The 14,050-nt window shown below is 53.7% G+C and overlaps 3 annotated features.

Annotated features, from left to right (window-relative positions):
* Positions 1,256 to 2,246: an enhancer, noted in NCBI's record as "H3K4me1 hESC enhancer chr17:77655553-77656543 (GRCh37/hg19 assembly coordinates)". NCBI's record gives its function as "activates a minimal SCP1, AML or CMV promoter by ChIP-STARR-seq in naive H9 embryonic stem cells {active_cell/tissue: H9 hESC(naive)}" and the evidence as "EXISTENCE:reporter gene assay evidence [ECO:0000049][PMID:30033119]".
* Positions 3,700 to 4,445: an enhancer, noted in NCBI's record as "H3K4me1 hESC enhancer chr17:77657995-77658740 (GRCh37/hg19 assembly coordinates)". NCBI's record gives its function as "activates a minimal SCP1, AML or CMV promoter by ChIP-STARR-seq in naive H9 embryonic stem cells {active_cell/tissue: H9 hESC(naive)}" and the evidence as "EXISTENCE:reporter gene assay evidence [ECO:0000049][PMID:30033119]".
* Positions 10,785 to 11,636: an enhancer, noted in NCBI's record as "H3K27ac-H3K4me1 hESC enhancer chr17:77665156-77666000 (GRCh37/hg19 assembly coordinates)". NCBI's record gives its function as "activates a minimal SCP1, AML or CMV promoter by ChIP-STARR-seq in primed H9 embryonic stem cells {active_cell/tissue: H9 hESC(primed)}" and the evidence as "EXISTENCE:reporter gene assay evidence [ECO:0000049][PMID:30033119]".

Raw genomic sequence — 14,050 nt, forward strand, 5'->3', positions numbered from 1 at the left:
GGCCCAAGGCAGGGACAAGGGGACCAGCTGTTCTCTGCCCTGCCCTGCCCTGCCCTAGCCTCTGCAGAGACACCTCCAGCTCTGTTGCTATGGTTGCCACTCTGTTATCCCCTCTGCTTGCTCACTGATGCCAGACTTTTCTAGAGTGGGAACTGACCCACACTCTCTAACAGGGCATAAATCATCAAAACTTTAAAGTCCTGGTTAAGACCCAGGGACAGGAAGGGCCCCGAAATCCTGTGCTGGTGAGAACGTGGCTTCACTTCTCCCCTGCAGGGCCATCTGGGGGTTGGCAGGCATGGCAGGTCCATCAGAATCCCACCCTGCCCCAGGCAGGGGGCTCTGAGAGCTGAAAGCGGGACGAGCGCTGGGTGTGGACACATTAAAGCAGACAGGTGAGATGCTGAGGGCGTTACTGACCCAGGTTGAGCATCAAAGAAACATTTGTCGAATGAATTAATGAATAATGACAAGGCATTGCTTCCATTGCACCATGCTGATGTAACCCCAGGGTGGCCACCATCCCAGTTTACCCAGGACCAAGGGGCAACCTGGGATGCAGGACTTTCAGTACTCAAGTCAGGAGAGTCCCAGGCAAACTAGGACAAATGGGTCACCCTCCATGAACAAGGAGATCCTTCAGCCCCTTCCCGGTGACTCTGCTTGGGGTGGAGGGAGAGGCAGAGGCCAGAGCCCAGCGGCTCCTCCGCACCCGCTCGCCTGGGCCCAGAGGGGTGCACCAGCCTCTGGGGGAGTCCTGCCATGGCCACCCACAAGCTGCTCAGAGGGGAGACAGCGGGACCCCTGGTGGCTGGGAATGAGACTCAGCATCTCCAGGGCAGGTCCAGGAGCCGCCTCATCTCATCCAGTCGTGGACACACCCAGGAGTTCTGCTGGCAGCAGGAAGCAGGCGCTGGTTGGCTTCTGTTTGCCGATGTCTGTCCTGAGAGGGAGGTGGGCTTGTTTCTGGGACAGCCGAAAAGCAGAGAACCAGGTTTGCCTCCAACCCTGTGGCTTCCACCTGGCCAGCCCCTCACCGAGTCATTGTGGCTCCTTCAGAAATCACAGATTGGGGTTTCCCAAGCACCGCCGGCTCAGTTGGCAGGACTGACTTTGGACAGGAGACACATGAGACCCTGACTGAAGCTCTGCAGCTGAGGACCCCCACGGCACTCAACAGGCCCCAGGAATGCACAGCTCCTGAGAGGGGATGAGAACATTCCTGGGGTTTGCAAAGCTCAGATCTAAGGCTAAACGCAGTGTTCTGCTTCAAGCAGGAACCCAGGACATGTGAGCCAGAAAGGAGTGGGGAGAGAGAGGAAGGGAGGGAGGAAGAGAGGGGTCAGGAGGAGAGAGACACAGAGAGAAGGAGAGAGACACAGAGAGAAAGAGGGAGAGAGGGAAAGAGGGAGAGAGAAGGAGAAAGGACCTGCTGAAACGTGAAAACAGAAATCCAACCAGAAAGAGGAGACAGGGTTGAAGGAGGAAGGAAAGAGGTAGAAAGCTGAAAGTGAGGAGAAGGAAGGAAACTCCGTTCTGCCCTCGTGCCCAGACAACAGGTGCTCATTCAGAAAGCATGGTGGCTCTGGGCCCAGAGATGCCCTGGGGCTGCCCAGATGCCGCAGGGGTCAGTCGCCTCCCGGAGGCAGAGCTCAGCCAGTGTTGCCTCCAACCCTCACCTCCTGGCCCAAGGTGAGCCACACACATTTCTACACATGGAAAGGAACTGTGGAACTGGAGAGGGTGAGCCCAAAGACCCATGCAGACCACTGAAGGCCCAGACATAGCAGAGACGCCCTGACGAAGAGCACCAGGGGGTGAGGGCACTGCCCTGCCAGCCCCTAAGACACTATAAAGACACACTAAAGACAGCGGCAGTAGGCAGCACTGGACTGGCAGAGAGACCCATGGGACAGAACAGAGCCAGGGCAGCCCCATGCACTGATGTGAGCTTGGTCATGACCAAGTTCACGCTGCAGGCGGCATCGCGGGAAACGGTGCTTGGAGTCAGGTTATCTATACTCTAAAATAAAATGTGATACCCCCCACAAGTTTAAAATTTTTTCAAAGAAATGATTTATGATCTTGTGGTCCATAAGAAGGTCTTTTTTAAAAATCACACAAGCCATAAAAGAAATAATTGAGAAAATGTAACTGCTTAAATTTTTTAAAAACCTATTCAAGGCCAGGCGGGGTGGCTCACACTTGCAATCCCAGTGCTTTGGGAGGCTGAGGCAGGCGGATAATCTGAGGTCAGGAGTTCGAGACCAGCCTGGCCAACATGATGAAACCCTGTCTCTACTAAAAAAGAAAAAAAAAATTAGCTGGGCGTGGTGGTGGGCGCCTGTAATCCCAGCTACTTGGGAGGCTGAGGCAGGAGAATCACTTGCACCCAGGAGGCGGAGGCTGCAGTGAATGGAGATCGTGCCACTGCACTCCAGCCTGGGCGACTGAACATGACTCCATCTCAAACCAAAAAACAATACAAAACAACTACAAAGGCTGGGCACGGTGGCTCATGCCTGTAATCCCAGCACTTTGGGAGGCCAAGGCGGGCAGATCACGAGGTCAGGAGATCGAGATCATCCTGGCGAACACGGTGAAACCCCGTCTCTACTAAAAATACAAAAAATTAGCCGGGCAAGGTGGCAGGCGCCTGTAGTCCCAGCTACTCGGGAGGCTGAGGCAGGAGAATGGCGTGAACCCGAGAGGCGGAGCTTGCAGTGAGCCGAGATCATGCCACTGCACTCCAGCCTGGGCGACAGAGCAAGACTCCATCTCAAAAAACAACAAGAACAACAACAACAAAAGGCTGGGCACGGTGGCTCACGCCTGTAAACTGACAGAGCAAGACTCTGTCTCAAAAAAAAAAAAAAAAAAAACACATACAAAACAAACAGAAAGTGGAAAAACAAGTCAGAAACCCAGAGATGGTTGCGGCATGCATAACTGATAAAGTTTGTATTCAGAATGCATTTAGGACTCATAAAAATCAATGTTAAAAAACACACGAGACAATCGGAAAATAAACAAAAGACCAAAAAAAGGCATTTCATACAAGGAAGTGTCTAGCCGATGAAAATGTGGATCCGTATTCAACCTCATTAGCACCCAGAGATACAGACATTGAAGCCGCAATGAGAAACCACTGCATAGGCATCCAATACTCAAACCATCTTTAATGGGGTAAATGGGGTAATATCTGGTATTGGCCAGGATGTGGGTTCAGGATCCATCAGACACGATTGGTGGACTTGTCACCGCTGCAGCCACTTAGGAAACCGTTCGGCCTCACCTGACGAAGCTGAAAATGTGCTTCCCTGAGACCCGACAACTCTCCTTCTTGGCAAATGTTTTAGAAGTCTTGCCCATGTGCACCAGGAGACGTGGACATTCACAGCAGTGATGCTCAAACTGATTAAAATCACATCCTCCACCTGGAGAACCGAGGGCTGCTGTGCATTCAGACGCTGGAATTCCACACAGCACTGAAAAAGTGGGCCACAGCCACACATCTGCACATTTGCCCATCTCAGAAACGACACAGAGTCAAAAAAAAAAAAAAAAGCAAGAAGAATTACACACTGGAATTCCATCCAAATAAAGCTCAGAAATATACAACTGAACCACATGTGATTTAGAGTCAGAAACAGCAGATAAAACTATAAAAGCAAAGAATAGAAAACACCACACTCAGGATGCTGTTCCCATTTGGAGGAAGAGGGAGAAGGCAGGGAATGAAACTGGGAGGCGGGCAGGACCCAGAAGGCCACGCCAGCCATCTGTGCCTCCGGCCGGTGGTGGACACAGGACACACTTTGCTTATTCATTATTTATACGTAAATGTCTCTGCATATTTCATCATGCTCCAAAAGAACGCAAATGAAGGCAAGAAGCTAACGCAACAGGACAGGGGGCCGAGGGAGGAGAGGCCAGGCAGGCTCCAGCTAGGGAAGGCTTGTTCTCAACACCCCCCCGGTCAGCTGTTGGGGGCTGTGCCCTTCCCCCCACCACACCCTACCATCTTCTGATGCTCTGTCCTCGTCCCACAGAAGTGACTGGTCTGGGTCTGACACCCGGCACGTGAGCATCCCCAGGATGTGAGGGGCAAAGCATACCTGTGGTCCCCCCACCTGGGGGCTCATTAAAAACGCGTGTGGACTGCACTGCGCTGTGCTGACCCGGGCTGGTCCGGGATGTGTGGACGCAGCCGCTGGTTGGAAACGTCCATTGTGCCGCTGGCTGGTGGAGGACGCCGCATGGCTGAGCCACCCCGAGGGGACCTGGCTTCCTTCCCCCTTCCTTGTCCAGTCGCCTCTTCCTTCCCTCTGGTCCTCACTCCGACTTAACCCACAGCTTTGGGTGGGCTCCCTGCTGCCCCAGTGGGCCCAGTGGGCAAGGAGGGGCGACCCCCAGGATCCTCAGAAAAGCAAACCCTCTCTCCACAGTGCCCCTCGCTGCCCCACATTTCCCCAGGTGTGTGGGGGCCACACAGTGGCAGCCAGGTCTCTTTCAGTGCCTCCCTCCGCCTGCCCCAGGAGGGACACCCTAGAACCCCACTCAGCACCCACCAATGCACAAGCCAGAGCAGCTAACCTCTGCCCAGAGGGAGGAGGATGCCCTTGGGCCAATTCTTCCCCCACTTGCCTCTCTGATGGCCTTTCCAGGGTCTGGGGTTGGGGGGGATCCTGAGAGCCTGGCCGTCAGTCCCGCCTGGAGGAATCACTCAGCCTGGAGTGGGCTCCACCTCCTTCCCTGCCCCTCCCCAAGGTGTGGGACTCTGTGCCTCAAGCTCTGCCTTCCAGCTGTCTAGGCTGAACCCCCAGATGACACCCCAGAGCCTCCACAGAGCCCCGAGGCTGCCCCGGGCTATCTGCCAAGGTCCAGCCAGGGGAGGGATCCCAGCTCTCCCACTGGTTCCAGCCCAGGCCCACGTGGCCTCCTGATGTGGCTCCCAAACCAGCCTTCAAAGCCACTCACTGTGACGGACACAGGAGGAATGCCACCTCCTCATCCAACGTGAGGACAAAGGATGGAGCCAGGCCGTCAGCAGTGTGAGTGTGTGAAACTGCTCGGCCCAGAGGGTTCAGCTTCTGCTTCTCAGGGGACAGAGGCACCAACTTTTACCAAACACTGGAATAGAAGGAAGCTCCGTCTGTCTGTCCCTGGGTTAACAGCTATTGAATGATGGACAGAGGGTACATGTCTACAGAGGGTACAGAGGGATTTATCAATGTCTCTGTTGACTATTGATGACAATTGGATTTTTAAAAGCCTAGGGCACAGTGGGTTTCACTCTATAGAAATCGCACCTTAATAAATCTGAGCGAAAAATCTTAAGGAAGGACAAAGGGATGGGGACAATCTGTCCATTCCCCTGTCTCCAGATGGCCCAGCCCGTGAATGATCTGGTCATCCATTCTACCGGCCATCCCTCCTGTCCCCTCAGGACAGACCCAGCTTTTGGCTCTGTTTCTACAGAGATCAATGGCACCTCCCCACTGTCCATGGCTCTTCACAGACAGGCCCAGGAGACCATGTGGGCCAGGCCCCAACACAGGCAGACCCAGCGTGCAGAGCCCACCTCACCGAGGCAGGAGAAGGCGGGGAAGACTTCCTGGAGGAGGTGCATTTTGGAGGCTACATAGGCGTCCACTAAGTAGAAAGGGATGGAGAGGCTGGTGCAAGCTGAGGAGCCTGGGTAAGGCTGTGGCATGAGGCATAGGGAGCTGGAGGATGTGGCCTAGACGGGGCCAAAGGGGACCCTGGGGAAGAGTCAGGGAGAGCCTGTCCACCTTGCTGAGGAATCTGGATTCTATCCACTGGGAGCACGGGGGAGCTTTGAGCAGGAAGCACCAGGACTGACTCCGTGGGTGGGAAACTGGGCAGAGACAGAGGGGGGCACACAGCCAGGGGCAGGGGCCCAACGGGGACTAGGACCGTAGCCCTGTGAGAGACCACAGTGGTCAGGGCCAAGGATGGGAAGACGAGAACTGGGGGGGCCCCTGAAAGTGGAGGTGAGGGGTCAGGATGGTACCCAGGTGTGGGCACAGGAGGGCAGGGGCACTCCAGAGGCAGGAATGGAAGAGCCACGGAGGGACTGAGTTCTGTGCATGTCGATTCCCGGCGCTGGCAGGGCTGCCGGGGGACTCGTCCAGAGAGTACGGGGACATGGACACAGGCACCATCATCACTCCGTGGTGGACAAAGCGACAGGCTGGCTAAGCAGAGGGACAGGCAGAGGACAGGGTCCTGGGAAGCACCCTCGGACGTGGGCAAGCAGAGGTCCTAAGCCAAGGGTCCTGGCCGGGGAGGACAGGGAGGTCAGGAAGCCACAGGGGGGTATCCGAGGACGCCGAGGGCTGTGAAGACACTGAACAAAGCGAGACCAAAGGTGGCAGACAGTGGCCAGACCACGATGACCAGGCACAAAGGCTTCAGAGCACGGCAAGGCTGAGAGCCGGAGTACAGGATGTGCCTAAAACCCCTCACCCTAAATGCCCCTGAAGACAAAGCACAGGTCATCCACGCTGCAGGGCCCCCCAAGGAAGGCGGCTCCCAGGCCTCAGGCTCAGCTACCCAGCCTGGAGCAGGAAGCCCCTTAGCAGGGGAGTGGGCTGTCAAGCCCATTGCCTCAAGCCAGAGGGCTCCAAAGTGTGCCTGGGGACCACCGAGGGTCCCTGAGAGCCCTCCAGGGGTTCTCAAGGTCAAAGTTACATGCATTTTTAACACTGAGCCAATTTGCCGCTTTCACCGAGCGGACTCTCGCTGTCGGCCCAAACGCAATGGCAGAAGGACTGTGGGCTGACAGGGTCAGGGCCTCAGCCACCGCACTCCTTGCCGCACGCATTTGCAGAGGGAAAAGGGAGTTGAACAAAGTGAGCCTGTCACTCCAGGGAAAAGAAATGATGGTCTTTGTTATCAATGATAAAATCTATTCTTTTTTTTTTTTTTTTTTTTTTTGAGACAGAGTCTCCATCTGTCACCCAGGCTGGAGTGCAGTGGCATGATCTCAACTCACTGCAACCTCCGCTCCCCAGGTTCAAGCAATTCTCCCACTTCAGCCTCCCAAGTAGCTGGGATTACAGGTGCCCACCACCACACCCAGCTAATTTTTGTATTGTTAGTAGAGACAGGGTTTCACCATGTTGGCCAGGCTGGTCTCGAACCCCTGACCTCAAGTGATCCGCCCACCTTGGCTGCCCAAAGTGCTGGGATTACAAGCATGAGCCACCACGCCTTGCCAAAATCTACTCTTTCAAAGAGAAATTAGAATTTGGGGAAATGTTATCCACCACAGAGAGCTTGACAGCCTCCCAATAGTTCCAGACTTTGCTGATGAGAACAGAGATGGTTTTAACAAGTATGATTTTTGATACTGCAGAGCAAAAATTGTTTTGATATGGTAGTACATTTTTTTCCAGACCACTGAGGCACAATGATACAAGATCATATGTGGCTAAAAGATCCATTCAAAGTGCAAGACAGACCAGGGGATTTTAGGATAACAGAGCAAAAACATTCATTAATACGCTTTCCGTTTCCATATTGCAACTAACCCTTGAGAAACCGGTACTTGTGAAGTGTCAGTGCAGTATCAAAGAGGAAAAGCCACCTGGGGGAGCAGCTACGAGATTCCAGCTGTCTTCTATCAAGCCAGAAGTTAAGGAGATTTGCAGAAATATAAAACCATGCCACTTTTTTTTTTGCTTTGGAAAAAATACATTTCATCATAAATATTTATGCCAACATGTAATGACTATGATCTTTACTGAATTAAATATTTTTCTTTTTTTTTTTTTAGATGGAGTCTCGTTCTATCGCCCAGGCTGGAGTACAGTGACACGATCTTGGTTTACTGCAACCTCTGCCTCCCGGATTCAAGTGATACTCCTGCCTCAGCCTCCTGAGCAGCTGGAATTACAGGCACACACCACCATGACGGGCTAATTTTTGTATTTTTAGTATAGACGGGGTTTCACCATGTCGCCCAGGCTGGTCTCGAACTCCTCGCCCCAAGCAATTCACCCTCCTCGGCCTCCCAAAATGCTGGGATTATAGATGTGAGCCACCACACCTGGCCCGTTCTTTTGCATCCTTTATAATAAGCTGAGAAAGCACCTTCCTGAGTTCTGTGAGCTGTTCTAGGAAATTCTCAAACCCAGGAAGGAGGCTGTGGGAAACCCGGTGTAAAGCCAGTCAGAAGTGTAGGTGGCCAAGGCCAGGCACGGTGGCTCACGCCTGTAATCCCAGCACTTTGGGAGGCCAAGGCAGGCGGATCATGAGGTCAGGAGATCAAGACCATCCTGGCTAACACAGTGAAACCCCATCTCTACTAAAAAAAAAAAAAAAAAAAAATACAAAAAATTAGCCGGGCATGGTGGTGGGCACCTGTAGTCCCAGCTACTCGGGAGGCTGAGGCAGGAGAATGGCGTGAACCCGGGAGGCGGAGCTGGCAGTGAGCTGAGATCGCGCCACCGCACTCTAGCCTGGGCGACAGAATGAGACTCCATCTCAAAAAAAAAAAAGAAGTGTAGGTGGCCAAAACTCACAACTGGTGTCTAGAGAAGGGGCAGTCTTGGAGCAAAAGCTTCAGCCTGTGCAGTGTGACACTACCTCCAGGTAGTGGCGAAGTTGAATTGAATCAGAGAACACCCAGCTGGTGTTGAGAGTAGGGAGGAAGCCCACTCTCCTATTAAAAGAGACACAGCTGGCCAGGTGCGGTGGCTCATGCCTGCAATCCCAGCACTTTGGGAGGCTTAGGCGGGCAGATCACGAGGTCAAGAGATCGAGACCATCCTGGCCAACATGGTGAAACCCCATCTCTACTAAAAGTACAAAAATTAGCCAGGTGTGGTGGTGCGTGCCCGTAGACCCAGCTACTCAGGAGGTTGAGGCAAGAGAATCACTTGAACCTGGGAGGTGGAGGTTGCAGTGAGCTGAGATCGCATATGGAACTCCAGCCTGGTGACAGAGCAAGCAAGCCTCCGTCTAAAAAAAAAAAAAAAGACACTGTGCATTTGGTGTCAGGAGGAGAAAAACACCTGGGAGCCTCTCCCCAGCTCCCAGGTGAAATCACGCTGATGGGGTTATGTCAAGGTCATACTTCGCTTCTTGGGTTCATTCTCCAAAGCCGGCATCTGCAGACCATGTGGAGCTCACACTTCCCTTCTTGGGTTCATTCTCCAAAGCCGGCATCTGCCAGATTTCCGCTAGTGTTTCCCACCTCGGTCTGTGTCCGGTCAAGTCCTGTGCCCCTGAATCTGGTGACCCTCAGCCCTCCTCCCCAAGGAATAAACCCCCCAAAGCAGACCCAAAGGTCCCGCCTTGCGCTGTCCTTGCAAGGAAGAGAGAAATGGCAGCAAAACTAGCCCAGATCCTGTTTTCTTCCTCGCTATGTGATGCTGTGCTGAGTATAAATAAATATATAAATAAATGAATAATTTAGGTTTTTCTAAATAAGTAATGAAAAATGGATGTGTGCGTCAGTCATAACTGTTTATGGACTAGAACTGCAGTTAATAGTTGGTTAAGAATAAAATGTGACAAGAATTAATGGAAATTTTACATTCACAATTAAATTTGAGATCTAATTAAAAAAAAAAAGCCACCGCTGGATCTGACATACTCAGGTCATACCTGCTGGGTCTCCCCAAGACGCCTTCCTCCCTCCCACGACCCCGACAAAGGGGCTCCTTGTCCTCCTGTTCAAAGACATTCATGTGGCCTCTCATATCAATATCACTACAGAGGAACAGTCCCCTCTCTCAGCAACAGACCCCCACAACCCTCGAAAACAATGGGGGAGACTGGGGGTCTTAACCCCAGCACCACCTCCACCACCAGAATCTGTGCATGGCCTCTGACCTTTGAATCTTAGCCCCCACGACCTCCTCCTCCCACTGCTCTGCATAAGCCAGCATCTCAGGTACCCCCAAATCTCACAGGAAACCTCACAGAGCACAGAGAGCCCCGGACAACACTCACTCCTCCCTCAGCCACTGTCCTGGACCCCACCAAGCCGCACCGGCAGCCCAGTCCATCATCCCTCCCCGGTGCCCTGTGTCCTATAGTGTTTGGTGTCCTGTTTTCTGGCTGGATCTACGAGCCAGGCTGCCTCACACACATCATGGGGTGGATTTGGACTGAGGTGGGGCCGCTGGGCTGCATGGAGCCTGCAAAGCTGGACTCTGGTGCCGAAGTTTGCCGACACCTACTCTGCTGTCCAGCCTGGAGACCGAAAGAAGAGGAGCTGGCCTGGGGCCCAGGAGCTGGAGTTCCCAGTCCAGTGGGATGACGAGGAGGATGGGGTGGAGGGGGAGAGCCCGGGCCCACCTGGAGAGCCCTGCTGTGCTCTGCTGTAGGGCGTGTGAGAGGGGCCACAGACTCACACGGACTCACAGGGCTTTGGACTTCTTAGCAACCTGGAGAGGAGGGAGAGAAGGAGCAGAAGGAGGGGATGGGAGGCCTCATGGAGTTCCTCAGGCCCTAGGGCCACCCTCAGACCAAGGCCACACCGTCCTGCAATCCAGCTGGCTGCTCTAAAGGGGCTTTGTGTTCCCAACACCTAACCAGGTTCCTCTTCCTCCAGCTTTGCTTCTGAGGTCTCCAGGCCGTGAGACCCTCAAATTTGAATCCTCCCTGATCACCCGCAGCCCCACACATGCACATAAACACACACATGTGCCCACAAACATGAACACACAATGCAAATGCACACACACGTGCACATGCACTCACATGCACACACGCCATGCACACGCATGCACACATGCATTCACACTCACGTGCACACGCGTACACATGCATGCACGCATGCATTCACACACATGCACACACACACACGTACACATGCACACACATGCACACACATGCACATTCACACTCACACATGCACACTCACACGCACATGCACACACTCGCATGCACACATGCACATGCGCCTCCAAGGCTGGCCCTTTCACGCAGCTTTGCTTGCCCAGCTTCCTTCAGGTCCAGGTTCCCAAAGCCCTCCCCTGACCACAAAGTTTCCAGGCCGGCCTTGGGTTTGGCCCCACAACGGAGGCAGAGCCAGACACCACCTCAGAGATGGCTCAGTCTACCTGCTGCTGTACGACCAGGTCAGAAAGGCCCAAAGAGGCCACATGATGCCGAGGTCACCTGGCCTGCCTGAGGGAGCTGGGTCCAGGCTCAGCCCTCCAATTCCCGGGGTCTCTTCCCAGACCCCAGGAGGCCTGGTGGGCGGGGGTTCTAGGGGCCTGAACTGTGAATGTGGGACACAGAGCTGGGCCAGGGTTCCAGAGCACAGGCTGCAGGAAGGGACCAGGCAATCCTGGAAGGAGGAAGAGCCCATAGCTGTCCATCCTGCTTGTCTTCATGCACGAAGCAGGTGTCAGTCAGCTGGGACAGGCCATCTCGAACTGGCAACCACCCCACTCAAATACATGATTTTAAGTGAGCCCCACTCTGCAACTCTGGCCAACACAGCTATCCGCATTTGTTTGCCTAGCTCAGAAGGGGAAAAAAAATATCAAGAGGCAGGCGCTTCAAGTGCAAATGTATCCAACTCCCAGCAAAAGGTTGTGCTGCGGGCCCACGGCCAGGCAGTATTCTGGGATTGGACCTCTTCCCTTGCCCTAAATTTAACCAGCTGGAAATCTTTTTTTAAGCTGCATCCTATTCAACCTTTTGAAATAAAGATTTGCCTTTTAATGGGAAATCTGCATTCCATTGTGGAGAAGGAACCGGCACCCTTGGCTCAGCCCGGCTCCTCCTGGCACGCGGCTTCCTGGTTTTGGCTGCAAACCTAGGAAAGCTCACATGTGCAGGGGTGGAGGCCCCTGACCGTCCAGGCCGCTGTCCCTGGGCTGAGGGGACATTCTGAGATGGGCACAGAGACTTTCTTAGGGAAAGCAGGAAATTAAAAGCAACAGCAATGAAAAGACACTGTGCCAAGAAAATAAATAAGACATTCTTCAATTTTTGCCCACGAACGTGCCCCACGCATGGGAGCTGCGTGCGGCCCGTGGTCAGGCAGAAACACCCGCACACAATGGCTGGGTTCAAATCTCGCCCTACCCCTCCTAGCTCGTGAAACATCTCTGTGTCTCAGTTTCCCCATCTGTAAATCAGGGGTGAGGACAACACCTACCTCCCGGGGGCTGCTACATAGATTGAGTTAATAGTGGTATAGCACACTGGTAAGAGCACAGGTGGGGCCAAAGAATAAATGATAGATGAAACGTGTTCTCTCCTGGAAATGGCTTACTACCGAGTCATGCAGGAGGGAGAGTCAGGAGTAGGGAGAAACCTTTAGTCCAGGTTCGATTCTGCGGCCTCGGGTGTGAGGCCGGTGCTATGCAGGGGCTGTGGGAACAAGGACATGGCCTTCACCAGCGTGGAGAGATGAGGCAGACGTGGAGGTGGACCCAAAGTGGGAGATGTCAGGGCAGACCTGGCAGTTGGGGATGTCTTTAGGGACAAAAGGGGACATGAGCCAACCCCAAGGGAACTAGGCAGGCAGAAAGGGCAGGGACCCATCCTCCTGCAGACACACTAGGATATCAGACGATGACGGAGCCTGTGTTCTGGGCGCCTGGTCCAGATGGAGGCGATGCAGGTTGGTAGAGGCCAGGAGAGGAGGTGGGCACTGTTTCAGGACCCCATGTGTGTAAACAATTTGATTTTCAAATGTATCACAGAAGTGGTGGCTGGGCCTGTGCGAGGTATGAGGACCCGATGGAGACTCTGAATGATGGTGGAGAGGACCAGAGAAGACCGCCCATCGGCTGAGTCCCAGAGCGACTGGGGCATCTGATCCCTTGTCCCTTGTACAGGAGAGACAGTTGGGCAGCGTACAAAGGAAGGCACCCTATGGGGACAGCTCTGAGGGCCCCAGCCAGCCCCAGACACTGGAGGGGGACATAGGAAACTGGGAGGCAGTCCAGGCACAGGGCCCTGTAAGCTGTGAGTTCCAAGGACAGGACTGCCCAGGGTAGAATCAGAGCATGGCCACCTCTGCACAGCAGATGCTGTCCGGGAGGGCACAGGGGAGCCTGGGCAGGGTGAGGGGTGCACATGTGGAAAATGCGCCCAGCCGTACCTCTGTGGCACAGCTATCTGAGCACGTGTGCATGTGTGTGTGCGTGTGTGTGTACATGTGTGCATGTGTGCGTGTGTGTACATGTGTCTGAGTGCACATACGTGTGCATCTGAGTGCACGTGCATGTGTGCCTGTGTCTGAATGCACATGTATGCACATGTGCTCAAGACCAGGGAGGGCAGATCCTGCAGGCCAGCTGTAAAGAAGGAAGGGGGAGCCCTGGACTAGAGCAGATCTCAGGAACCCCAAATCAGGGACTCATTCTCTTCATTATAACCTCGGGAGAAGAATTACAGAAAGTTATGAGAATTGCAATCACTTCCTATGTGTGCCCAAGGTGTACGCACTTGACCGTACATATGTTACACCCTGAGGAAAATGTTCATTAGGATAGAATATTTGCATAATTATATGTCAAGCTGTACACTATTTTGGTAGGCAGATAGGGGGCTTCATGAGATGACCTTTCAGAGTTCTCGGGTTTCTTAGGGGCTATGAGGGGGTGGAATAATGGCCCCACAGATGGCCACATCCTCATCTCCAGAACTCAACCCCTGCTTCTGTGAACCCTACTCTCTGTGAATTCATTGCCTTGCATGGCAGCAGTCACAGGAGTCAGTTAAAGATCTGGAGATGGGAGATTATCCGGGTGGGCGGGTGCAATCCCAACGTCCTTAGAAGTGGAAGACGGAGGCGGGAGGGGTCAGGATGATGTGATGGATGGAGCTCATGGAGGGCACAAGCCAAGGAGTGCCGCAGCCTCGAGAAGCTGGGAAAGCCAAGGAAGCAGATTTCCTGCCCTTTGAGCCTCCACAGAGGAACACAGCCCTGCCGACACCTTCATTTTAGCCAAGTCTAACCTCCAGACTGTAAGATGACAAATTTGTAGCTGGGCACGGTGGCTCATGCCTGTAATCTCAGCACTTTGGGAGACTGAGGCAGGAGGAT

This window comes from Homo sapiens, chromosome 17 (genome assembly GCF_000001405.40).
Source record: "Homo sapiens chromosome 17, GRCh38.p14 Primary Assembly".
Classification (NCBI taxonomy): Eukaryota; Metazoa; Chordata; class Mammalia; order Primates; family Hominidae; genus Homo; species Homo sapiens.